Raw genomic sequence first — 27902 nt, 5'->3', positions numbered from 1 at the left:
AACTTCTTGAAATGTGCTCCTCTGACGGTATTGTATGACATCTTATACTAATGACTGGTGTATGTAACTCTGACTTACTTACTTACCCTTTTAATGCTTGCCCAGAAGAACTAAACAAACAGTAATGCAGTCAAAAGAGGTCTACTTAAGATAACTTACATATCTACCATAAAAGTAATTAAGAATGAAAGATAAAAACTCACTAAATACTAGTATAAATGCTACATTTGTCAACTATCAGGCAAACAGGTTTTATTTTCATCTTGCAAGCTTGCATACTGAAAAAAAATTTTTGTAAAAAGATTATACAAAGTTTAATCCTGCAAACATACAAAGTAAACAAGTGTATGTGCAATAACTTTGAAGTACATCACTCATAATTACATAATTCCTGTATAATTCATGGGCTTGGTCATAGGTGCACATATTTCTAGGCATAAGAGTTGGCTTTCGGCCGGGCGCGGTGGCTCACGCCTGTAATCCCAGCACTTTGGGAGGCCGAGGCGGGTGGATCACGAGGTCAGGAGATCGAGACCATCCTGGCTAACACGGTGAAACCCCGTCTCTACTAAAAATACAAAAAATTAGCCGGGCGTGGTGGCGGGCGCCTGTAGTCCCAGCTACTCGGGAGGCTGAGGCAGGAGAATGGCGTGAACCCGGGAGGCGGAGCTTGCAGTGAGCCGAGATCGCGCCACTGCACTCCAGCCTGGGCGACAGAGCGAGACTCCGTCTCAAAAAAAAAAAAAAAAAAAAAAAAAGTTGGCTTTCGTTATTTTACTGTTCCATTTCCAACATTCATTATGTTTTCACAATTGATCAGACAACTACATAAAACAAGTGATGAAAAAGTTGCCATACCAAACCTAATACCAGTGGTACCCCAATTTCACTGTGCATCAGAAACACCTGGATGGCTTGTTAAACCATAGATTGCTGGGCCTCAAACCTACTGTCTGACTCCATAGGTCTGGGTTCAGACCCAAGGATCCACACTTTTTATAAGTTTGAAGGTTGATTATAGCTGTGTGTGGTGGCTTACACCTGTTATCCCAACAGTTTGGGAGGCTGAGGTAAAAGGATCACTTGAGTCTGTGAGTTCAAGACCAGCCTGCACAACATGGGGAAACCTCGTCTTTACAAAAACTAGCCAGGCATGGTGGCGTGTGCCTGTAGTCCCAGCCACCCAGGAGGCTGATGTGGGAGGATCACCTGAACCCGAGAGGTTGAGGCTGCAGTGAGCCATGATCACGCCACTGCACTCCATCCTGGGTGACAGACTGAGACCCTGTCTCAGAAAGAAAAAGAAGTAATGTCGATGACCCAGGACCAAACTTTGAGAACCACTGTACTATACTAATGAGGTGATACCAAACTATTATGAACTTTCAAGCTTAAGTACTTTCATATAAAGGTTACAGCCTTGAGTTTTGTAACCTAAATTAGCAGTACGTGATCTTAGACACTGTTTTTCCATGTTGTAGTTGTTACCTAATCCCACTTACTGTGGTCTGTACCATTTCTTGGGTTATAAATGAGCAATAAAAGCTAAACACCAAAATTAATTTGCATTAGTATACTGCACTCGTGTCAATTTGCATAAAAATATATTTTTGAAAGGCTTCAATGGCCTAGTGTTATCTTCTAAGATACCTTGAAAAATAGAGTTGCACCTGCTGTAAAAAGGCTGAATAGCATCTAGAAGCCTTAAAAGGCATAGAAAAGGAAGGACTGTATTCAAAGAAAAAAAAAGCTTTAAATTTTATCCCTCCCATGAAAAGGAAACATAAACTACATGTGGCCAAATGTACTGCGTTCCCCGGGATTGTGCATTTCTAACAAGTGTCTAGGAGATACTGATCTGGTAGTCCTACATTTTGTCTAGCAAATTCCTAGAATGGTGTCATTTTTGTACATTTCCATTCCATCTGAGTTTCAATCAATTTTTTTTAACATCAGTTAAAGATTTTATTTGATTCATTAAAGAGGAAACTGGTGAGGCATTTCCACCAGCTCAAGGAAGAATTTTGTAAATGTTATATTTATGGATCAGAAATAACTGAAATGAATGTGCAAATGGAGGCAAAACTGGCCTCTTCCACAGTGGGGAAGAAAGTCAACAGAACCTCCACTAGGCATAATTTACATATGTACAGACTCAATCAGCTTTTAATATAGAAAGATATTTGAACCCAAAATCTTTCATTAAGGTAAAAAATACAATAATAATTTTTAATGAAATCCTGGAAAATTCATACAAATAAAATTAAAAGCCTCCAATGGGGTATAATCCAGCAATATCCTAGGCAAATGCCTCCTGAAGAACAACAGCTTTTTTAAAACATCACTGTTTATCATTCAAAATTCAGACGTCTCCTATCTTTGGCTATTTTTATCTCTTCAAACTTTACTCCTAAAATTGCACTAGGAAAGCGTTCCTTATTGGAATCATAATGGGAGCAAAGCTGAAAATGTTTCTTTAGAAACATCTAAGGAAATTACTTAGACCCAGATACTTATAAGTGACTATAACAAGCCTTTATCCTGTTTTACATCAGTTTTAACGGGAATAAAAAGTAAAAACACATTTATTAGTGTTTCACATAGCTGCCATGATGGCAACGTGACTGTGACTTGCATAAATAATACACTCAAGGACATTCCACACTCCTTGGTGGTTCCAGCAATGCGATTTACTAAATAAAAAAGTGACTATTCCCATGAAAGAAAGCATCAAAAACTAGTTTTGAGAAAGAAGATGAAAGGCTCAATCTCTAACTCCTGGATGCCAGGAAGCAGAGTTTTTCAGAATCAAAAACAAATTAAGAGCTCACAGCCCCACCCCTCAGGGGTCACATAAGTTGGTACTGTTGCTTGTAACTAATTCATGATTTTAGCCTTTTCTTTACTCAAAATTAAAACTAAGGACATAACACTCTTCAAAAATACACATACCCTGAGACAGATCATTACCAGAATCTACACAGGGCTTTGCTATTTAGGTACAGTTAGTACAATTCATATTTAAAGTAATTTCATAAAAATAACAACTGTTCCAATCTTACAAGTTTCGTTTCCTCCTATCATGGTCACCAAAGCAATCTCTATTGTTAGGATTCTTCATTGCTTGAAGGTAGAAACTGCTTAGTAAAATTCTCCAGCTCATTTTCAAGTTGAACAGCTTTATTTCTAATTAAAAAAATAAAACACCAATCTAATTACTATAAAGGTCAAGGAGAAAAATGCATTCCATCCATTATTAAAAGACAAAAACTTTAATAATAAACAATGAAGAGCATAACAGACAGTGGAATCATACCTTACACGGGATATCCTAAGTTACCTAGAGTCATGATTATGCTTGCAAATTCCCTTTAAATAATGCACAAAGTACACAGTGTTTCTTATGGACATACAAGGAAAGTAGCAGATGTTACAGCGGCAATGGCATACCAAAAATATTTCCTTTAAACACTAGATTCATCCTTGATGCAGCCAAATGCCCACAAGAGAGGAAAACTGGAACTAAAACTGACAGAAAAACAGATTTGTTTCCCACTCTCACACTATGCCAGGGCACATATTCATTGAGTGGGCTCTCTCTCTCCATTATGGACGGGGAGGGTCTTGTTTTACTTTATTCCTGTGTGCATATGCTTCAGGTCATACAAGTATACATCAGCTCTGAACTCTACTGTATATATTTCTTGAGGTAGCTCTCCTGCAGCGTTAGCACATTAAATTCTATCCAAATGGCTGAGCCTAATCTAGTAAAAAATGGAAATTCCAAATATTATGGTATTTGTTTTTTTTAACTTTTTTCTATTAGAAAAATGATTAGCAGACCAAAAATATTCATACTTATTCAAGCCAGTCTTGCCCAAATCAGAAAGCTACATGACTAATGCCAATAATCTATTTTATCATTTATTATAACAAAATGAAATACTATTTAAAAACTTACCTAGTATTCCTCTTTCAAAAGCTGAATAAATCAAAACCAAAAAACCATAAAAACTTACCTAGGTTAAGACAAAAAACCAATTTCTACTGCACAGTTTCACCACATTTGAAAGGTATATATGGGATGAGCTGACTTAAAATAGGAGCAATCTAATACATACAATTCACATGGGTGGGTGAGGTTGGAAATATCTAAGTGATAGGCAGTCATCTTTTCCAGAGATTTTGAAACTAAGGTACAATGAACACGTGTTGTTGGTCAGATGAAGACACTATGGATGGATAATCACTACTATGGATGTTTTAAGTACATGCCCCAAAATCCAGGTCACAAAGACAGTCCCTCCAATTTGTAAACATTGACTACTAAGCTGTTCTTACACAGGCAATTTTGTGTAGCATGTGTCCTAGAAGTAACAGCAGGGACTAAATGAGGTTTAATGGTTCTTCCAAGACATTCTGACAAGCCAGCTAATGGGTAAGCAAAAGTAAGAAAGCTGAAAGTTAAGTTCTTAAGCACTGAGTAAGAATTTCCAACTACAGACCGAATGGTGACACTTTCAGTCTTGTCCCCAAAAGCAAATTTTATTAGACCCTAAATAATATATAATGAATCATATCAAACCAGAAATCCACATTTTATCAGGACATCTTACTTTTATGATTTAAGTATACATAATCAATAGTCCCCCATGAAAACAGAAGTTATGGGTCTTGGACATACACAACTAAAAATTCACTTTTAATTATACAACTTCTGTTCTGAAAAGGGAATAATATAGCCTAATGAAGAGTAAATTTCGATCTATAAAGTCCCTTTCAATTCAGATTTGTTTTCTTGTTGCAATTAGCCTTCAGTGAAACTGCAAACCACATGGAATTAAATATGGAAGATTTTCATTTAAACCTTCGGTGAAACTGCAAACCACATGGAATTAAATATGGAAGATTTTCATTTAAACCAACACAAAAAGCTATTAGGAATGAATACAAATTCATTAATAATTTTACATATTTTGTAATGAGACCAGTAAATGTTCAAATTATTGAGAAGAAAGGTTTAAATACCTTAAGAGCTTTGAATTGTTTTGTATTTTCTCCAACTGATCTATTTCTTTGGGTAATCTAGCAATTTCTTCTTCCAGCTGTTTTTGAGTAATATCAACTTGTTGGCACAGGCGAGCAAAAGTGGTAGCTATTTGTCTTAAAATAAAAATTTAGAAGCAGTCATAAATGTCTTCAAAAATGAATAAGCTTTAATTTAAAGCTCACATAAAAAGAAGAACACAAGTTTTAAAAAACTTCTAAACTATAGGGAATCAGAACACTAAGAATGATAAGAGGGAAGATATGGCACTAGTGGGCTGCATTTTATCCTGGCTCAAGAGACGATATTACCTCTGCTATATGGCTGTGAACATGAATAAGCTACATAAAGACAAAAGATGGGTGTGTTTCTTCAGAAGCACAATAAACTTTACTCATGCTTGGGGCCCTGCGCAAAGTAAGAAATTATCAAGAACAGAAAAAAAATTCCATGCACTTTTGTGACATAGGCAAAAATACTTTATAGCAAAATTTAACAATATTTCTAGAATCAAAGGGTTATATTTGAGGGCTAATTCATATATTAACTTTGGCAAACATTATATTTTTAAATGGGAGCATACCTCTTCCCATTCCACCAAATCTCAGACAGATGAAGCATGTGTCATTCTTTTAATATTTTGTTAAATATTAAATATTTACTTAGTTTATTTTAACTGAGAAATTATTTGAGGTTGCCTCCATTAATGTGCAAAGTCTTCTAAGAAAGAGGATCAAGTCGAGTTTTTATTTCCCATAACCCCTAGCATGAACTGCTGCGTGGGAGGCAATTAATAAATGTTTGATAATCAATGCAGGGAAAGCTACATTAACTTTGTTTTTATTTATATGAATTTCAGCTGATTCTTTGGATGTCCAAGTATCTTAACTAGATGAAAACTCATCCTTAATATAAATTAAAACTATCAGATAAAATAGAGGCTCAAAAAACTTGGTCAATGAATGAATGAATAAATGAACAAATTCCTCAAATTTGCAGTCTCCTGGTAACCATTCTCTACAATTATTAACTGTTAGTTCAGACTTTGATTTTGTATCTGCAACAGTTTACCGTTCCTGCAATTCCTGTCTCTTGAGTCTAAACAATTTCAAATACTACTGCAAAGTTATCTGTTCTAGAACTAAGTGTTGACATCACTCTCGGAATTCCTAATTATCCAAACCCCAATCTACACATACAGACAAGGCCACATCCTGCTATGAAGTCTACACCTGAATGTATGTACACAGCTTAGATACACATGTGCCACATTGAATATTTCTCTTCATGTCTTTGAATGCAGTCTTTTCCCCTTACCTTCTTGTTTTTGATTTGGGTTGTTGTCTCCATCTGATCTTCCGATACAGCATGTTCAAATCTCATATGCTACACATCTCCCCTAGGAAACCTTTATTGATCTACTATCCTTCATGATTTAAGTAACTTGTACAGCCTTGCCTTATGATAATGGTTTCTCTTTCTCTTATATTTCTTATCACTCTCACTTTGTATTATAATTATGTAAATGTTAGTTTCTTCCATTAAACTGAAGTTATCTTGAACTCAAAGAATTTTTAAATTCTGCTCTCAGAGGCATCCAAATACAGAATATTGTACCCTGACTTGACTGGAGTTCTATATATTTTTACCACATGAATGAAACAAATATTTAAGTTGTATAAAAGCAGAAACCGGGTGGACTTAGGTATATGTTATAATAAAATTCTCCTGAGATCTAAAAATAAAATAGCATTTAACGTATACATTTGAACTGCGAGAGCAAATATACATTACATTCACCATGAAATCAGGAGTCTACCTACCATTAAGTTCATTTGTTAAATGCTAAGAATTCATTCAGCTTTCTTAGACTGCTTGGCCAGGCTACCTCTATTCATTCAGTTTTCTTTATTAAGAAACCACAAAGATCTGGCTGGGCGCGGTGGCTCACGCCTGTGATCCCAACACTTTGGGAGGCCAAGGCAGGTGGATCACTTGAGGTCAGGAGTTCAAGATCAGCCTGGCCAACATGGTGAAACCTTGGCTCTACTAAAAAAAAAAAATACAAAAAAAATTAGCTGGGCAAGGGGCTGGGCATGGAGGCTCACACCTGTAATCCCAGCACTTTGGGAGGCCGAGGCGAGTGGATCATGAGGTCAGGAGATTGAGACCATCCTGGCCAACATGGTGAAAACCCCATCTCTACTAAAAATACAAAACAAAATTAGCCAGGTGTAGTGGCATGCACCTGTAGTCCCAGCTACTTGGGAGGCTGAAGCAGGAGAATTGCTTGAACCTGGGAGGCGGAGGTTGTGGTGAGCCGAGATCGTGCTACTGCACTCCAGCCTGGGTGACAGAGTGAGACTCCATCTCAAAAAAAAAAAAAAAAATTAGCTGGGTGCGGTGGCACACGCCAGCTACTCACTTGAATGAGGAAGGTGGAGGTTGCAGTGAGCCGAGATTGTGCCATTGCACTCCAGCCTGGGCAACTGAGACTCCATCTCAGAAAAAAAAAAAAAAAAAAAAAAAAAAAAAGAAACCACAAATATCTTAAGGGCAATTATTTATTTTTGAGACATAGTCTCTCACTCTGTCGCCCAGGCTGGAGTTCAGTGATGTGATCTCGGCTCACTACAACCTCTGCCTTCCAGGGTCAAGCGATTCTTGTGCCTCAGCCTCCCAACTAGCTGAGATTACAGGCATGTGCTACCATGCCCGGCTAATTTTTGTGTTTTTAGTAGAGATGGGGTTTCACCATGTTGGCCAGGCTGTTCTCGAACTCCCGACCTCAAGTGATCCGCCTGCCTCAGCCTCCCAATGTGCTGGGATTATAGGCGTGAGCCACCTTGCCCAGCCAGGTACATAAATTTAGAATAGGTCTGCTGAAGATCTTTTGAGTTGGGCATGGTGGCTCATGCCTATAATCTCAGCTACTCAGGAGGCTTGAGGAGGGAGGATTACTTGAGCCCAGGTGGTCAAGACCAACCCGGGCAACATATTGAGTCCCTGTCTCAAAGAAAAAAAAAAAATTAAAAAATTATCCTGGTGTGGTGGCACACACCTGTGGTCCCAGCTACGTGGGAGGCTGAGGCAGTAAGATCACTTGAGCCCAAGATTCGAGGCTGCAGTGAGCCAGATTGTGCCACTGCCCTCCAGCCTGGGCGACAGAGACCCTATCTCTGAAAAAAAAGAAAAAAAATTAAGAACTATCTTTTTAAACCCCTCCAGAGTTCTTGAGAGTTCCTATCTACCAATTTTCTAATGTTCAAACCTAATCTATCAGGAGAATGGAAAGAAGAATAGTGATTAGGAGGGAGAAAGGGCAGCAGTGAGGTTTAGTATTGTTCTATTTTTTCTCATTTATGGCCATCACGAAACATGTTCATTTTGTGATAATTCTTTGAGCAATACACTTATTTTGTGCTTTTTCTGCATGTATGTCATATTTCAGTAACTTTTTTTTAAAGGAAAGATGCACCTTCCAACTTACTGTTTTACTTGGTGACTGCAGTTTGCACTCGTGGAGCTAACAATCATCCTCAGTTTTTCAGTTGCATAGTTTACAAACTGCTGTTTAAAGGCTCGCTCCTTGGCATGGGTGGTCCAGCTCAGTCTTTCATAAAGATACAAAGCTCCATACATAGTTAATGAAACAGATAGGAGTTTCCAGCCTATAGTTTTCCAAATCTGTAAGATAAAGTCATAGCTTAGTCTGAGAAGGAAAAACACCACTTTGGAGAGTACATTTAAAAGCATTTTAGTTCCCTATGGATCTTTGAGTTAGATACATTTTCTAAAAATGTATATTCCTTCTCCATGAGAAAACCTGAAGTTACCAGAAATCAATCAGGCTTAAAAGGGATCAGCACACAAATGAGGGAGAGCTTTATAAGCTGCCAGACTTATCCTGATTCAATGTATCTCAAAAATAAAACAATGTTAAATATTGTAGGTCAGACCTTTCAAAAACCAAAACAAGCATATCCATGCTGTTAATGATATACATTTTTTAAAGAAACAAATAAGAACTACTACTAAAAATAACATTTAATACTTAAGACAGATCCCCTTGATATTCAGAGAAGGCTAGATAGGGCACCTGGGGTTTTCTTATTACCTCAACGTACAAATATTTCTTTGTGTGCTGTGATGTGAAAATGCTTAGGAAGTATTAAAGACCAGCTAGGTGGTGATAGTTCATTCCTAAAGATGTATGTTTTTTAAAAATTTAAGATGAAACTTGTGATATTTAATTCACTACTTTTAACCTGCAAATTTTCATACTATTTTACAGATCCTATAAATAGAAGTAAATACTGTATACCTTTTCTTTTGTGAGCTAACAGGCAGCCTTGCAAACATTTCGATTTTAATTATACTAAAAGTAATGTTTCTTACCACTCCTCCAACAATAATGATGCCCATAGAAGTTCTAGATGTAACGGACGCCAATCCTGTTACTAATGTAATCATGAGTTCTTCCTGTGATGCATTATCTGGCGTTGCTGGAGTGGTAGGAGCAGTGGGAGTAGAAGCTAAAGATCTAGGGAGCTGCCAAAAAAAAAGAGAAAGGAAAAAAGATTACACTTAAACAACTATAAAGTTATCTTTATAAAACTCTAAAATTATAGTAGCACATCTATGAGGGAAAAATTACCCTAAATGATGAGTACACCACAAATATATGTAGAAAATAAAAATAATTTGGAAATTCTTATCTACAATATGGACCAATGATATCATGAACAATAAATTTTCATAATATACAATGGGGTCTAAATGTAACAGTAGGCCCTCAACTCTCAAGAGGAACAAAGTGTGTTTTTAAAAAAACTAACAACAAAAGCACAATCCTTGAAACAAACAACAACAAAAAATGATAAACTAAAAAAAAAAAAAAGGACTTCGGCCGGGCGCGGTGGCTCACGCCTGTAATCCCAGCACTTTGGGAGGCCGAGGTGGATGGATCTCGAGGTCAGGAGATCGAGACCATCCTGGCTAACACAGTGAAACCCTGTCTCTAATAAAAATACATAAAAAAAAAAAATTAGCCCAGCGAGGTGGTGGATGCCTGTAGTCCCAACTACTTGGGAGGCTGAGGCAGGAGAATGGCGTGAACCCAGGAGGCAGAGCTTGCAGTGAGCCGAGATTGCACCACTGCACTCCAGTCTGGACAACAGAGTGAAACTCAGTCTCAAAAAAAAAAAAAAAAAAAAAAAGGACTTCAAAATAAAAACCTCTTAAACTTCAAAACACACAGCCACAGGCAAGAGAAATATATTTGGGGCTGGGTGCAGTGACTTATGCCTGTAGTCCCAGCACTCTGGGAGGCCATGGCAGGAGGATAGCTTGAGACCAGGAGTTTGAAACCAGCCAGCACAGCACAGTGAGACCTTGTGTCTACAAAAATTTCTTTTAAATTAGCTAGGTGTGGTGGCACATGCCTGTGGTCCCAGCTCCTTGGAAGCAGAGGTGGCAGTGAACTGTGATCACACCACCATACTCCAGCTTGGGCATAGCAAGTCCTTGTCTCAAAAAATAAAGAAACATATTTGGAAATCATATATGTGAGAAAGGATTTGATCCAGAATATGCAAAGAAATCCTGCAACTCTATAGGACCCAAATAATTTAAAAATAGGTAAAAGCTTTGAATAGACATTTCACAAAAGAAGATACACAAATGGCTAGTGAGCACACAAAAAAGATGTTTAAAATCATTGGTCATTAGGGAAATGCAAATCAAACCTACAACGAATACTACTCTATACCCATTAGAACCTACGTATATACTCAAGAGAAATGAAAACGCACGTCCACATAAAAAACATGTACATGAATATTTATAGCAGTATTCATAATGGCCAAAAACTACAAACTACCCTAATGTCCATCAACTGGTGAATGGATAGTGTTGTATCTATAATGGAATATTCCTCAGCCGTAATAAGAAATGAAGTACTGATACATCCTACAACACTGATACCATGATGATAAACCTTGAAAACATTATACTAAGTGAAAGAAACCAGTCATATAAGGCCACATTCTATATGATTGCATTTATAGGAAACCTCCAGAAAGGGCAAATCCATAAACAGAAGGCAGATTAGTGGTGAGGCTGGAGGTGGAAATCATAATTGACTACAAATGAGTAAAACAGCTTTGAGGTGACAAAAACTAAAACTAAATTGTGGTGATGGTTTTACAATTTCACAAATTTCCTAAAAAATTACTGAATTGATAAATTTTTTAAAGTTTTTCTTTTAAAATGCTTGTATTCTCTTTTATTTCGATGAGCAGTGGTTTGTAGTTCTCCTTGAAGAGGTCCTTCACATCCTTTGTAAGTTGGATTCCTAGGTATTTTACTCTCTTCGAAGCAATTGTGAATGGGTGAAATGGAAGAACATTCCATGCTCATGGATAGGAGGAATCAATATCATGAAAATGGCCATACTGCCCAAGGTAATTTATAGATTCAATGCCATCCCCATCAAGCTACCAATGACTTTCTTCACAGAATTGGAAAAAAACTACTTTAAAGTTCATATGGAACCAAAAAAGAGCCCGCATTGCCAAGTCAATCCTAAGCCAAAAGAACAAAGCTGGAGGCATCACGCTACCTGACTTCAAACTATACTACACTACCAAACACTAACCAAAACAGCATGGTACTGGTACCAAAACAGAGATATAGACCAATGGAACAGAACAGAGCCCTCAGAAATAATACCACACATCTACAACTATCTGATCTTTGACAAACCTGACAAAAACAAGAAATGGGGAAAGGATTCCCTATTTAACAAATGGTGCTGGGAAAACTGGCTAGCTATATGTACAAAGCTGAAACTGGATCCCTTCCTTACACCTTATACAAAAATTAATTCAAGATGCATTAAAGACTTAAATGTTAGACCTAAAACCATAAAAACCCTAGAAGAAAACCTAGGCAATATCATTCAGGACACAGGCATGGGCAAGGACTTCATGTCTAAAACACCAAAGGCAATGGCAACAAAAGCCAAAATTGACAAATGGGATCTCATTAAACTAAAGAGCTTCTGCACAGCAAAAGAAACTACCATCAGAGTGAACAGGCAACCTACAGAATGGGAGAAAATTTTTGCAATCTACTCATCTGACAAAGGGGTAATATCGAGAATCTACAGAGAACTCAAACAAATTTACAAGAAAAAAACAACCCCATCAAAAAGTGGGCGAAGGATATGAACAGACACTTCTCAAAAGAAGACATTTATGCAGCCAATAGACACGTGAAAAAATGTTCATCATCACTGGCCATCAGAGAAATGCAAATCAAAACCACAATGAGATATCATCTCACACCAGTTAGAATGGCAATCATTACAAAGTCAGGAAACAACAGGTGCTGGAGAGGATGTGGAGAAATAGGAACACTTTTACACTGTTGGTGGGACTGTAAACTAGTTCAACCATTGTGGAAGACAGTGTGGTGATTCCTCAGGGATCTAGAACTAGAAATACTATCTGACCCAGCCATCCCATTACTGGGTATATACCCAAAGGAATATAAATCATGGTGCTATAAAGACACATGCACACATATGTTTACTGCAGCACTACTCATAATAGCAAAGACTTGGAACCAACCCAAATGTCCAACAATGATAGACTGGATTAAGAAAATGTGGCACATATACACCATGGAATACTATGCAGCCATAAAAAATGATGAGTTCATGTCCTTTGTAGGGACATCGATGAAGCTGGAAACCATCATTCTCAGCAAACTATTGCAAGGACAAAAAACCAAACACTGCATGTTCTCACTCATAGGTGGGAATTGAACAATGAGAACACTTGGACACAGGAAGGGGAACATCACACCCCGGGGCCTGTTGTGGGATGGGAGGAAGGAGGAGGGATAGCATTAGGAGATATACCTAATGTAAATGATGAGTTAATGGGTGCAGCACACTAACATGGCACATGTATACATATGTAACAAACCTGCACGTTGTGTACATGTACCCTAGAACTTAAAAGTATAATAAAAAAAAATTAAAAAAATGCTTGTATTTATGCTAGTTTATTTGAAATGTGAAAACCAAATCTTTTAAGAAAACAGAAATGTTTCAAAAATGAATGTAGCACCACCTGCAACAGTATTGGACGAAAGCTTTAGGATAAGCTTTCCCTTAAGCATACTACAGGTTGAGTGTCCCTTATCCAAAATGCTTGGGACCAGAAGTGTTTCAGATTTCAGATTTTTTAGGATTTTTGAATATTTCATAGATATAATGAGCTATCTTGAGGATGGGACCCAAGTCCAAACACAAAATTCATTTATGCTTCATATACCTTATATGCATAGCCTGAAGGTAATTTTATCCAATATTTAAATAATTTTGTGCATGAAACAAAGGTTGTGTACACTGACTTATCAGAAAACACAGGTGTTGCTATGTCAGCCACCCATGTGAACACTCTATGGTTGTTTGGCATCACCATCATTCTTGATTGAATTTACATACTACTGACAAGCAATCATTTTCTTACACGGATTCACACAAAGGAACTTAATAGTAAAAATATAAGACACACCATTAATAACAGTGAAAAATAACGTATTCAAACTAAGCAGCACAGTGGCATCACCAGAACACCTGTATCAGCTGTTAAACAGCAACAATGGCAGGCTTTCAGTCTCTACCTACAATGTTATGTTTTGATTAAAAAGTTCCGGTACACAGTACTTTGTTAGGTGAGAAGAAACATCAGAAGCAGTTGAGGGACCAAGAAGTGGGTCCTCTCGGCATAATAAGACATTGTGCTGAATGGCCTTTTAAAATGTTTCCTGCAGTACCACCTACTTGCCTCTTTAACAATGGTTTTTGTTGAAGTCTCTCCTTGATTTTATAAACCTATTTCTTGTTCTGTTATGAATACATGCTGCTCTAGTGCTTCAATAAGCCCATCACCATGCTGCCTATAGGCAGTTGTTCTGCGAGGTCAATGAAATCATCTTCATTATCACCATTATCATAATCACCTTGATTTAGAAGCATTTTAGCTATTTTGCCATCAGTTAATGAATGAACAACTGAAACCTCATTATCAATGTCAAACACTTCTTTGATATATCCTTCTTCCAGCTTACGGATGGACTCTGAAGATATTATTTTTTGCATAAGGAGCTCACTTGACATACTTCAAAGTCACCAATTTGCTCCTCATCATCAATAAATGTAGTGACAGGCAGAGGCTGCAGGCATACACAACTGAGTCACTGTCTTCCAAGTGCTGGCATATATGGCATCCTTCATCCTAAACTCCTTGTGCTGGCAAAAGCATCTATGGCATCTTTCATTCTAAACTCCTTCTGAAAACCTTCCACACCCAGGCCTCAGTTCACTGCTGCTAGCATGCTGCCCAAAAAAGGTTTTTGTATTTACTCTTCATTGATCGTAGAATACCCTGGTCACAAGGTTGAAATAATGAAACACTTTTTTTAATAAGAATTTCAGCTAGACGATGAGCAGAATAGTTGTCAAGGAATAACAAAATCTTGCAGTCATCATCCGGCCTAGCTTCCCTGCAAGTGCACACAAGCTGGTATAAAATGTTTGTGAAACCAATCAGAAAAGATGTCCCTAGGGATCCATGCCTTTTTGTTAGTACAATAATGGACTAGTAAAAAAAATGCATTCCTTGAAAACAGTGAGGATGCAAGCTTTTGCCTATCACAGTAAGTTCACATTTATGCCTGCTGCATTAGCACATCCCAGCACAGTTATTCTGTTCTTTGCATCCTTTATTCTTGTAGGGGCTGTCTCCTCAGCTGTAGTCAGTGTCTTTCTGGGTCAATAATGGCAAAACAGTGATGTTTCATCAGCATTATAGACTTGTTCTGGAGTCAGATTTTCATCAGAGACAATCTTGGCAAATTCATCAATGAATTTCTCTGCTGTTTTGTGATCAAGATGCTTTAACACCACAAACCTTTAGAAAAGTTAATGCTATCTTACCTTAAATTTCTCTAACCAGCCTATTGAATACTCACAGTTCCCTTCGATTTTCAGTTCATTTTAATAGATGTTTATTTCATGATCAGCATGTCCTTAAGTGGCACGTGTTCACTGCAATGCTGATGGATCCACTCTTTCAATGCATGATCAAGATCTTCGTTTTTAACTTTCTGCAGTGTTTTTGTTTTTTTCATTAACTTCTGTCATCATTTTTAGCATGGAACTTCAACAGTTTAGTCCTAAAGAACAACTTTAGGAAAGTTGTTCTTTCTTTTAGGTCATATATGGTGTTCATTCCAACATCATTCTTCTGTAAGAAGTTTCTCACTTACATTATTGTCCAGTTTTTCCAACAGCTTAAATTTATGTGTTATAAATAAAAATAAATGCCTCTTCTTTTTCTTATCAATGTCACCCACAAGGGTATCTGTAGGCCTTTTAAACATTTTAAACAGCCTGGGTGCTGTGGCTCACGCCTGTAATCCCAACACTTTGGGAGGCTGAGGCAGGTGGATCACTTGAGGTCAGGAGTTCGAGACCAGTCTGGCCAACACGGTGAAACCCCATGTCTACTAAAAATACAAAAATTAGCTGGGTGTGGTGGTGGGTGCGTATAATCCCAGCTGCTCAGGAGGCTGAGGCAGGAGAATCGCATGAACCCGGGAGGTGGAGGTTGCAGTGAGCCAAGATTGCACCACTGCACTCCAGCCTGAGCCACAGCGCAGGTCTCTGTCTCAAACGCATCCCCACTCAAAAAAAAATTTTTTTTAAACAGTATCTTTACACCAGAGAAAAGACAGGAAGTAAAGAAGCCCATACTGGGTAATGCACAAAGGTCTTGGCCCCTTGTGGGGCATCATGGGGAAAATGCTGTTGGTGCACTGGACCTGCACATGTGCCATTTTAGTACCCTTCATAGGTGTGCTTGTGTGGGGGAATTTGGGCATACGTGGAAAAGATATATTGCAGCTAGAAGAGGCTGAGTCTTTTTTCCCTTGAGGACACTGAATAAACTGTGTGTTGTGTGCCTGCGTTTTTACTATGACCTCATTGAGGTCTGGTGTGGAATTTTCCACCTGTGGTGTCACCGTACTCAAAAAGTTTTTCATTTTGGACCTTTAAGGATTTTCAGATTGGAGATGCTCAAACTAAATATCTACCTCAGAAATGGCTCTAAGAGATAGATACTAGCTTTTAAATGTGCAGATTTTGTAAAGCTAGTTTTATTATAGAAAAACCACATAAACAAAATAATAAAGGAGAGTCTTAATTGGTAGATTCAAAGATACATACCTGAAAGATAGGCTCTGATAATCCTAGGAGCACCCTTTGAGCATTTCTAGGGCCCAAAAATCGATGTACAAGGGAAGACCAGCCCAGGGAAAAACGAAATACAATATCCTCTTGAAAATCTGAACATAACTTGTGGTAATTTAGATTATAACTGAGATCAAATTTCTTGCAAGGGATCAGTGTATGTAGTTTATCCTGTATACCAGCTGGAAGTAATGGCTTCAAATTTTCTAGAAAGAACAAAATTACAACACTTAAGATAAGAATGGTAAATGTTTTACCTTCAATGGAATGCCTAAAGGAAAATAAGCTCTTCACCAGTCATGAATGAAAAAACAAACCAGACATGACCTTGTAGACATAAATATTACCAATAATTTCTTGCTGGGTCTGAAGCACTAAGGCGTTTACTTCATCGGTGCATCGATCAGCCAAATTTCTTCCCATACCATCCTCTATGTGCTTATTTAATTCCTGTTAACAATGGTAAATATCCATATTATTTTTTCTCCAGAAAGTATGTAGTTTTTATAAAGACATAAAATATTCAGTAAATGCCAAAATGGTCTTTTTAATTTGACTTTTTTTTTTTTTTTGAGACAGGGTCTTGCTTTGTTGCCTAGGCTGGAGTGCTTTGATCTTGACTCACTGTAGCCTTGACCTCCTAGGCTCACGCGATCCTCCTGCCTCAGACTCCTGAGTAACTGGGACTATAGAAGCGTGTCGCCATGCTTGGCTATTTTTTATTTTTTTTGAGATAGAGTTTTGCTCTTGTTGCCCAGGTTGGAGTGCAGTGGTGTGATCTTGGCTCACTGCCACTTCTGCCTTCCGGTTTCAAGCGATTCTCCCGCCTCAGCCTCCAGAGTAGCTGGTATTACAGGCGCCTGCCACCGGCTAATTTTTTTTTTGTATTTTTAGTAGACAGGGTTTCACCATGTTGGTCAGGCTGGTCTCGAACTCCTGACCTCGTGATCCGTCCGCCTCAGCCTCCCAAAGTGCTGGGATTAAAGGCGGGAGCCACCGCAACCAGCCTAACTGTTTTTTGTAGATTAGAGTTCTCACTGTGTTGCCCAGGCTGGTCTCGAACTCTGGGGCCCAACTGATCCTCCCACCTCGGCCTCCCAAAGTGTTGAGATTACAGGCATGAGCCACTGTGCCTCGTCCTAAAATGATCTTTATCTCATTCTAAGTATAAATTTTCTATTTACTTTTTATACAAGACAGTTTACATTTATTACAAGAGGGCACAAGAGATCTAACAGTTTCATTTTGTACTGATACACTGAAATGCCAAACCATGAAATAAATGAGGGTATAGAATAATAAGAAACTGTCTCTGAATAATTTTATCTATACTTTAACTTACACTTTTATATATTTTTAATACATCTGGATTAGGATGAAACTCTGAACAAAATTCATCAACCAAAACAGACAGTCGACAAATTTCATCTGTCATTGCACATGAAACCTGAAAATATGAAAATTTTGGAGTTAAAATAATTAAACAAGATTATCAATTATTCAAAAAAATTAAATTGAAAAATCTGAAAACATTCTTTTAAAGTAACAGGAATAACATTTTTAGCATTATCAAAAATAATTTCCATCCAGGTTATTTTAATCATGAAGCTACTGTTACCCACTTTGTTTGCCACCTCCTCGGTAACCTCCTTGATTTTTTTCTTAACATCCAGTGTTAAAAGGTTCATCTGGTTTCGAATAAAGTCCAGTCTATCAATTTGGTCTTCCCTCTCTTCCACTGAATAATGCCTATTTCAGTATAAAGAGTAATCAACGTTCAGGGTAGTCTGAAGTCCTAAAGCATTTCAGCAAGGGACTCATTCATGTATTGAACCATCTATTAGCATGACTCAAGGAAAAAAAAAACTTGTAACATCTCAAAGGATTCAAGTAATATTTCACTTATAAAGTATTTTATATAGATGATTTGATAGAAACCACGTTTCTCTGCCCATGTGGCACCTGAATCCCAGAAAGGATGAATAAGAATTCTAAGTCTTCATAGATATGAACAGGCAAAACAGAATGCAATACTGACTTTAGTTAATAAGCAGGGGTCAGCATATAGCACCTTACAAGCCAAATCTAGCCAGCTGCCAGCTTTTGTTAAAGTTTTCTTGAAACACAGCCACACCCATTCATTTACCTATTATCTATCTATGGCTGCTTTTGCTCTAAAACTGTAGAAATGAGTAGCTCCAAGAGACTTTATGGCCCATAAAGCCTAGAATATTTACTATCTGGCTCTTTTTTTAAACAAAAGTTTGTTCAACTCTGGCTGATACAGGAAAATAAAGACCTGAGATCCATTTAAGAAGATCTTTTACTTAAGAAGTTCCCAGGACATTATGATTATACAATCCTCAAATCACATCTTCTTTGTGCTATACTTTGTTCAACATCCTATATCTTTAAAAATTATTACTAATTAAATCACTTTTAGGCCAAAATTTGGGTACTACATCAAAGCAACTGAGCTAGAAGGAACTGCTATAGCAGCACGATCTAATTAAACAGAGGCCACACGGAGGCTGTACACAGGGGCTGAGTTCAAACTCAGGGTTCTGATCCTTGCGTTTTATATGCTGGCAATTCTCTGCATTTGAACTTAATTCATTCCTAAGAAAGTACCATTATAAAGCAACAGACAGGGACATGAAGGGGTCTTTGTTCCCTGAAAGAGCAAATACATTTAAAATTCCAATGTTATGTCATCTTGGACTTAAGCTTTGATGCGTTTATGTTTCCTTCAACTGGCTTAAGTCCACTGAAGGTCCTATCGAGGCTTAACATCATTACTTTTGTCACATCTAATAACATCCCGATCTGTGTTTCAAGCATACCAAGTTTGTGAAAATTATACTTTGTATCGATAATGCTGGTATTTTCATGTATTCATTGCCACCTTTACAAGGTAACAAATAGTATAAAATAATGCCGTACAGTATAACATAAAGGGTACTGCTTACCAAATCAACTTTCTGGTTGGCAGGTAGCATCGCCTTGTTTGTTCACCAGGCAATAAACAAACACAACTAGTATAAAATAGTGATTTCAAAATACCAATGTATGACCATATTAAAAAATGGGTCGTGGGTTGAATGCAGAAAGAGGATCACCTGTTTTGGACTTCTTCATAAAAATCTGCTTGAAGAAATGGTTCTTCCACTGCTTCAAAGATATTTTAAAGCCACAAAACATTTTAAAAATCACAATTCATACACAGGAATAGTGAGGTCCAGGGGATATAAATGATGTGTGCAAGGTTGCAGAATAAATATCGACACTTTCAAATACGCACTTAAAAATATAGAAGTAGGCATCAGTTAAACCCACAAGGTTGATTTCAGTGTAAAAAGTATTTATAGTACAACAATTTAAAACCTCATCTTAACAAAAGTCTGACAAAAAAACTAACATTTTTATGTTGCAACAAAATGAACTCATACCTTTTATCTTCAGCTGCCAGGTTTACTGAATCCATTATGTTTTTCACAGTAGCTAGTATCTGTTTAGCTCTGATAGTGTGCTGTTCGAACTTTGTTTTCACTGCTGACTGCGAGATACACTCCTGCGAGGGGCCCAAGCCGTAACACATTACTGTAATTCCATCGCAACATTTTCAGGAATTTAAACACAAAAACTTGCTGTTTGTAACTTTAACCCAAACAGAAATAAAGATAGAAAACAAATGAGTGATAAAAGCACAACTTAAAATTACAAAGGTGAAAAAAATACAAAGATTCAAAAGTAAAAAGGGCTTTAGCAGCAAGTTACCATCTTTGTGTATTTTTACACAGTAATGTGCAATGGTTTGACTCTAACATTAAAAAAAATAAACAGGGTACTATTTTCAATGTTAAAAAATTTCCTCATTAGAATTACTATTTTTATCTGGATCACCTTTAATCCAATTCTAGTCCTTCTATCTAGATTATTCTCATACTTGCAAAAGATATAACCTAGTAAAGTTCTTAATTAAGATGTGAATTAGAACAATTCCTTATTTAATAGCTGAATGATACAATGATTCCTGTAAGTTTGCTAAAAAGGACTTCATTGAGTTAAAATGTGAAGAATTTGAAAGCTAACATTTAACAATGTAACATCTAAAATTGTTTATAGAAAAAATATCTGCAGCTGTTTAGAAGATAATTGTAATTACTTTCATTAGAATATAGTGTGTACACAGAAACCTGAATCATGCCCTATCTCATTTATCTTCAAGCTAACAACCCATTTAAAATAGTTGTTATAAATCAGTGTTTTATAACCAGTGTTTATTTAAATAAAAAATACGTCACAATGCATCACATTTATCAATGGATACATTTCACATTTGTTTCAATTTTCAATATATAGAATACTTGTTATCTTATATATATATATTACATATATATGTTATATATGTTATATATATATTACATATATATGTTATATATGTTATATATATATTACATATATATGTTATATATGTTATATATATATTTTTGACAGTCTTGCACTGTCACCAAGGCTGGAGTGCAATGGCATGATCTCGACTCACTGCAACCTCCACCGCCTAGGTTCAAGTGATTCTCCTACTTTAGCCTCCCAAGTAGCTGTAATTACAGGCATGCACCACTATGCCTGGCTAATTTTTACATTTTTAGTAGAGTTAGGGTTTTGCAGTGTTGGCCAGGCCGGTCTTCAACTCCTGACCTCAAGTCATCTGCCTGTCTCAGTCTCACAAAGTGCTAGGATTACAAGAGTGAGCCACCACGCCCATCCTATAAATATATATTTACTATGATTTATCATTTAAAATTTATAAAATTGGGCCGGGCGTGGTGGCTCACTCCTGTAATCCCAGCACTTTGTGAGGCCGAGGCGGGCAGATCACGAGGTCAGGAGATTGAGACCATCCAGGCTAACATGGTGAAACCCCATCTCTACTAAAAATACAAAAAATTAGCTGGGTATGGTGGCACGCGCTTGTAGTCCCAGCTACTCGGGAGGCTGAGGCAGGAGAATGGCGAGAACCCGGAAGGTGGAGCTTGCAGTGAGCTGAGATAGCGCCACTGCACTCCAGCCTGGGCGACAGAGCGAGACTCTGTCTCAAAAAATAAATAAATAAAAATTTATAAAATTTTTATATTACAATTTGTCTTATTTCATTTTTACTTCACAGAAAGTCAAATTCTGCACTGAAATATAGCACAGTAAGTACTATAGATGTTTTATAAGAGACATGTTTATTTTCTATGATAAATTTTTTAAAAATTAGGGATATATTAATTCTCTGATACTCCAATGAATTCATCTTCTCGAACCTCTATATATTTAGCTAATACAAATTGTGGTAATTGCTTCCTGAAGTTCATTACTATCCTTCCTTTAATAAATGGCTTTTAGGCTTCAAAAGGCATTTACTTAATACTCTAGTGCTACATTTCTTATCCTGAAATCATCAGGATGCTACACGTGCATTCAATGTCCTATTTACGACCTATGCTTAGCCTTCATGTCTCTGAAATTATTTGAGCACTCAGAAAGACTATAATCTCTACTGCCATTTTAGCTCCCCTCTTCAGCATTTCGTTTGAGGTAGAGAAAACAAAACAGATTATTTAGCTATAGAGCACATGAGGGTAATTAATTTAGTCAATATTTAACTCTGAAGCCATTACTTTCTTGCATTGCCTAGCTTCATTTTTTCCCATGGTGAAGCTCATTTATGCATCACTTATTTTCACTGATTTTGAAAAAATTAATGTAGGAAGTTATAGCATTCCTGTTCTGTACACACCTAAAGATAAAACATACCCGGATGTTTTCTTCTTTAAAATCACCAATAATTACATAATAGTGAACATTTGTAAACTACTTATTTTTTAATAACTAAAATAATGCATTGACTTTATTTTAAATAAATGCCTCATAAATGTGTCAAATTAACTTCTGCAAAATTATAAAAACAAAAATATTTTTAAAAGGAAAAAGATTAAAATAAAGTCTATATTCCTCGATGAAGCAGATCTAGATATCAGCAATGAAGATCCAAATTTGTAGATAACAGCACAGTGTTAGAGCTAGACGAGACAGAAAAGATCTCCAAAAGTTATTAGGCAATATAAGTTACTGTCTGATTCAAAAATATATAATGATGAGTAAGTATAGAGAAGAAAATAATCAATTAAAAAGTAATCCCACATTGGTGTTCCCACTGATCTGTAGGATATTTAAGAGGTACCTTGAAAAAAGAACATTTTACTCCAAATAAGTATGGGAAGTGTTAATTTAAATAAAGTTCCCCTTCTAAGTTATTTCTCAGCATCCTTACTACACTAATATGCTAATTAATCTCTATGGGGAACATATATAATATGCAGCAGTTCCCAGATTTATTTTATCAGGAACTCTAATCATACATTAATAATATAAATTTATATATGTAATTAAAACATAAAACCAACAAACTTGTCAATTTCCCTTGAAAACAGACCCTACAAACACCTAACATGCTACTCATCACTGCCAACTTATTTTGATATACTTTCAATAGAAAGTGCAAGAAATAGACCTTTCATCTAGATATATCAAATATTAACATTCAGCCCCTTTTGTTTACTTCTCCCCTCCCTCCATACTCGCGCTCGATACTCTCTCTCCTGTGTGAGGGCATATATATATAATATTTATATATAACATTATATATAATATTTATATATGTATTATATAATATATAATATATAATAAATATATATAATATATATAATACATGTCTTGCAATGAATATATAAAATGTATGACCCCCATATATATAAAGAGAGGCATATATTTTTATATATACTTATGTATTATTTTCCTTCCTGAACATTTTGACAGGTCATTACTACATCACAAGCTTGTTACCTAACACATCAATACTTGTCTTCTAAGAAAGAAAACATTTGCACAATCACAAAACAATTGTATTCAGAATATTTACCATTGAGACAATACTATTATCTAACAAACAGTTCATGTTCAAATTTCACCTATCATCCAGGAATGTCCATTACAAAAAAATCCACTGACATTTTAAATAAGTTATTTTTATACGTCTATCTCCCATCATACAACCAAAACTAGTAAGAATTAATGGTGAAATAACTGTGCAAAAGATATTTGGATTTCTAACTTGCCTTTAGAACAATGCAGTCCAAATGCATTTTGAAACTTTCCAAATACAGTTTTAAAACAATAAGAAAATGTATTGACAGACTAACATTGATTTTCCTTTCTTCCTTTTTTTTGAAAGAAAAGAGAGTCTCACTCTGTCACACAGGTTGGAGCACAGTGGTACCTCCATAGCTCACCATCACCACAGCCTCAAACTTCTTGGCCTTCTACCTCAGCCTCTGGGGTAGCTGTGACTATAGTCATGAGCTATCATATCTGGATTTTTTTTTTTCCTGCTAGAGATGTGATTTAGTCTTTTCATGTTTTTGCCCAACCTGATCTCAATCTCCTAAGCTCAAGAGATCTTCCTGCTTTGGCATCCCAAAGTACTGGCATTACTGGCATGAGCCACCAATGCCCAGGCTAATATTGATTTTTTTTATTGCTTTTACTCCATTTAATTTTCAAGCCTTGCTTAAATTAGTATTCTAAATGTTTAAAATACTTAGATCCATTTGAATCAAATGAATCTAAAGAAGTTCACGGCACAGGTCAAATTGATAAAGGTGATGAACTTGATACAGTTTTTCTTTTCACAAAAAATCTTGCACGACTACAAAAAAAAGTAAGCAAATCCCCAAAACAGAGAAAATGTGTGTAAAAGCCACATGATGTGACCACAACACAAAGAAACCAAGAAATTAGTAACCAAAAATTGGATAAAATGAATCAAAACACTTGAATTTTAAAAAGTCTTATATTGATAAGGAAATGCCAAAAGGATAATTAGAAACAAAAACAACAAAAACTAAACTAGTACTGAAAACCTTGGGATACGCCTAAAGCTGCAGTCACAAATTCACAATCCTGAATCTTTTCTTTAAGAATAAGCAAAAACCAATGCATCTTCAACGTAAACAATGTTAAAGACGAACACAGGCCAGGCACGGTGGCTCACGCCTGTAGTCCCAGCACTTTGGGAGGCCAAGGCGGGTGGATCATGAGGTCAGGAGATCGAGACCATCCTGGCCAACACTGTGTAACCCCGTCTCTACTAAAAATACAAAAATTAGCCGGATGTAGTGGTGTGCCCCTGTAGTCCCAGCTACTAGGGAAGCTGAGGCAGAAGAGTCCCTTGAACCCAGGAGCCGGAGGTTGTAGTGAGCTGACATCGCGCCGCTGCACTCACTCCCTCATTCCAGCCTGGCGGCGACAGAGCGAGACTCTGTCTCAAAAAAAAAAAAAAAAAAAAAAAGAACTTAGTGAATGAAACCCCAAAAATGATATTTATTAAGTGATAAATTACATAAGAGCTGGGGCTGTGTCTTTGGATGATAAATCATTGGCAAACCCATTAAGGGTCTGTGTGTGTATGTATATGTAGATATATATTTATATTTAAATATAGAAGTGAGAAACAAGAGATTCAAAACAAACAATTTTATGCTACTAAATTATAAATGTTCAGAAATACACCAATTTCTAAGAAATCAGAAATTACCAAAACTGACTTAAGAAGTAACAAATACCAGTTTTGGAATAAAGCTGACTAAAACTTTCAATGTAATTAATTAACAAAAAATGTTTTGTCTCTTTTTAATACATTCAGACATAATATTTTTTGCCCAGCTGATTGTTTGGAAAAATTCAAATAATTTTTAACTGATTCTCATTTTAGATATTTCAGACTTAAAATTTTCAAACTCTAAAGCTGGACATTCCATGACTTTAAGTAAAAACAAAAAGCTACTGCTCATAAGCAATTTTTTCCATACATAAATTTTAGAATCCCAAATGGACCATTAGAATAAAACATAAACTGCCAAGTTTCCTCTAAAAACATTTAAAAAGAATAGTTCCTAAGTCTGTCTGATTATTGCAATCACTTGGGGAACTTTGAATATATATGTATATAGATTCCTAGACCAACCCCAACCCCCTGGATCTGGGGTTGGGGATAGGATAGGTCAGGAGCCTGTGGTTCTCTAAAGCACGTCATGTGATTCTGATGATCAGCTAGGCTTATGAACCAATTCCCTACAGCATATCTTATTCTTCTCATTCCCACCTCCTCAACGAGATATTCTTGGGAAGCACAAGCTATACCATGAACCAATATGGAAGCAGTATAAATGTGTAACAGAACATTACACAATTATACATTATATAAATGTATAATTTAGAAGAAATCAATGATAAACATACATAAAACACATATATACTAAGGTCAGTAAATAAAGACAAGGAAGTAGAATAGATCCTCTCCCTACATATTTTCCCCATGGATGAAATAACTGATAACAGTGAGGAGAGGAGGCTGAGGTGGGAGGATCATTTGAGCCCAGGAGTTCGAGGCTGCAATGCGCTATGATTGCCCAACTGCACTCCAGCCTGGATAACAGAGGGAGATCCCATTTCTTTAAGAGAAAAAAGAGGTGAGGAGAGCATCAACCCTTTGGTGAAAGCAAAAGGAAAAGAAAAAAAACAAACAATAGTCTTTGAGTAACGGGGACTTCACGTATCCTATAGCTTGGCTTGAGAGGACATCTACTGATAATCCAGTAGCCTCTGAACAATTAGATCTTATCGAGATAGCTGGCAGTGGATTTGCTTTCTTCCAGTTTGTCTTCATCTGTCTAATAACCTTTTTTCTCTCACCAAATTAAAGATGAGAGATAGTAAGCACATTTTTTATTTTAAAAATCCTGCCAAGTATACTCAACATTCATGTCCCCTTTACATTAAAGCAGTTACTACTTATAAGAATAATTACAGACTGAGGTTTCTTCAATGCTGAAGTCACTGTGTTCATTCCTAAGTGGGAAGGTGATATGAATTATACAGGGCAAAATAGGGGTTCAGAAGGTTAATATCTAAAGAACTATTCAGTCAAATGTAGGGTGAGTTTTAATGTCTCTGAATAAAAACACTTACAATGCAACATAAGAAACTAGCCTCCCTCCCCATCTACCACTCAGGCACTTCAATAGTTTCCTAGAAGTTTCTGAAAACGCTGAAGCTCTTTTCTACTCAATTATTCATTTAGAATGTTTGGCACAAAATATGGAGAATGGACATGTGGTAACACAGTATATAAATATAATAAAATTTTGTCAAATGGCATTAATCATGTTTTGTATACTTCTATTAGTCATGCGGCACAAAGTAAAAAAGGATAATGCTTACTTTGCTCTATTATCCATTCCAACAGCAATTACGCTTGTTTACTCTTGTTCCAAATTATTGAATACAGGGAATTTCATTCATTGCACAACACAGCAATATTGAAACACAGTTTCTTATTTATATAAAATACATAAAAATAAGAATAAGGAATAAATTACAATCTTTAATTCTCAATTCTTACAAATCATTTTGCAGGGGCTCCTTTTCTTCACTTTCCACATTTTACTGGCTGTGTCAGTAACTAAACTAAATAACAGCAAAAGTTATTGACAAAGACAAAGGATAAAAATAGAAGATTATGCTTTCTCCAACCAAAGAAAGAGTTTTGTATTAGGCAATACAATCACAAAATTCCTACCTCAAAGATTTGTTCAAAATTCTGAAATTCCTGTAATCTTGCATGAAATCCTTCAGCAAGTGCCACACCTGTAACGTACAGGCAAAGATTTAAAAACCTAGTATGTAGCAAGATATGTTTTCTGGTAGGCTACTGATTTTATAATTTTAAATATATATATATATATATACTTTTTCCCCCGAGACAGAGTCTTGCTCTGTTGCCCAGAGCTGGAGTGCAATGGCGCAATCTTGGCTCGCTGCAACCTCCGCCTCCTGGGTTCAAGCAATTTTCTGGCCTCAGCCCCCCAAGAAGCTGGGATTACAGGTGTGCACCACCATGCCCAGCTAATTTTTGTATTTTTAGTAGAGATGGGGTTTCACCATGTTGGCCAGGCTGGTCTCAAACTCCTGACCTCATGATCCGCCCGCCTCAGCCTTCCAAAGTGCTGGGATTACAGGCGTGAGCCACCGCACCCAGCCAATTTTAAATATTTTTATATTTAAACAGGAAATCTATAGGTAATGCATACCACTTTCTGGCATCCCCTGTGCTTTTTGCTTTCTAGCACTAAGAACTTCCTTTGCTGAAACAAAGAAGATACGATTCTGTGCTTCTAAAGCATTTACAACTTTGAGCTCCTCCACCAAGAAATGCAGGCATCTTTCCATGTGCTGTCTGCGTACCTACAGAGAAAACGGTATTAAAAGAATTCTAATAATTTAAACAAATATAATAACCAACGACTATAGACCAATACTTACTTTATTCACAGTGATATAATAAAAGTTACCATATAACTAATGAATTTAAGAAATTCTAATAAATGAAGTTTGATACTTGATGACAGGAAATCTTTC

The 27902-nt window shown here is 36.5% G+C and overlaps 1 protein-coding gene across 3 annotated transcripts in view; it reads right to left on the bottom strand.

The window, feature by feature from the left end:
* Positions 231-27902, bottom strand: part of MFN1 (mitofusin 1) — a 47228-nt gene continuing 19556 nt past the window's right edge. For all 3 annotated transcript variants that reach the window (NM_033540.3, XM_005247596.5, XM_011512963.4), the window contains 11 exons: positions 27575-27728; positions 27064-27131; positions 19826-19947; positions 17999-18125; positions 17719-17823; positions 16724-16826; positions 16353-16582; positions 9446-9598; positions 8538-8734; positions 5029-5163; positions 231-3186 (listed from right to left, as the gene is read on the bottom strand). In NM_033540.3, coding sequence (NP_284941.2) covers positions 3108-3186; positions 5029-5163; positions 8538-8734; positions 9446-9598; positions 16353-16582; positions 16724-16826; positions 17719-17823; positions 17999-18125; positions 19826-19947; positions 27064-27131; positions 27575-27728 — 1473 coding nt within the window. In that variant the 3' untranslated portion in view covers positions 231-3107. The remainder of the gene's footprint in view (positions 3187-5028; positions 5164-8537; positions 8735-9445; positions 9599-16352; positions 16583-16723; positions 16827-17718; positions 17824-17998; positions 18126-19825; positions 19948-27063; positions 27132-27574; positions 27729-27902) is intronic.

This window comes from Homo sapiens, chromosome 3, assembly GCF_000001405.40.
Source record: "Homo sapiens chromosome 3, GRCh38.p14 Primary Assembly".
In the NCBI taxonomy this organism is placed as follows: Eukaryota; Metazoa; Chordata; class Mammalia; order Primates; family Hominidae; genus Homo; species Homo sapiens.
Note: the sequence above shows the minus strand (reverse complement) of the source record. Positions and strands in the feature narration are given on the sequence as shown.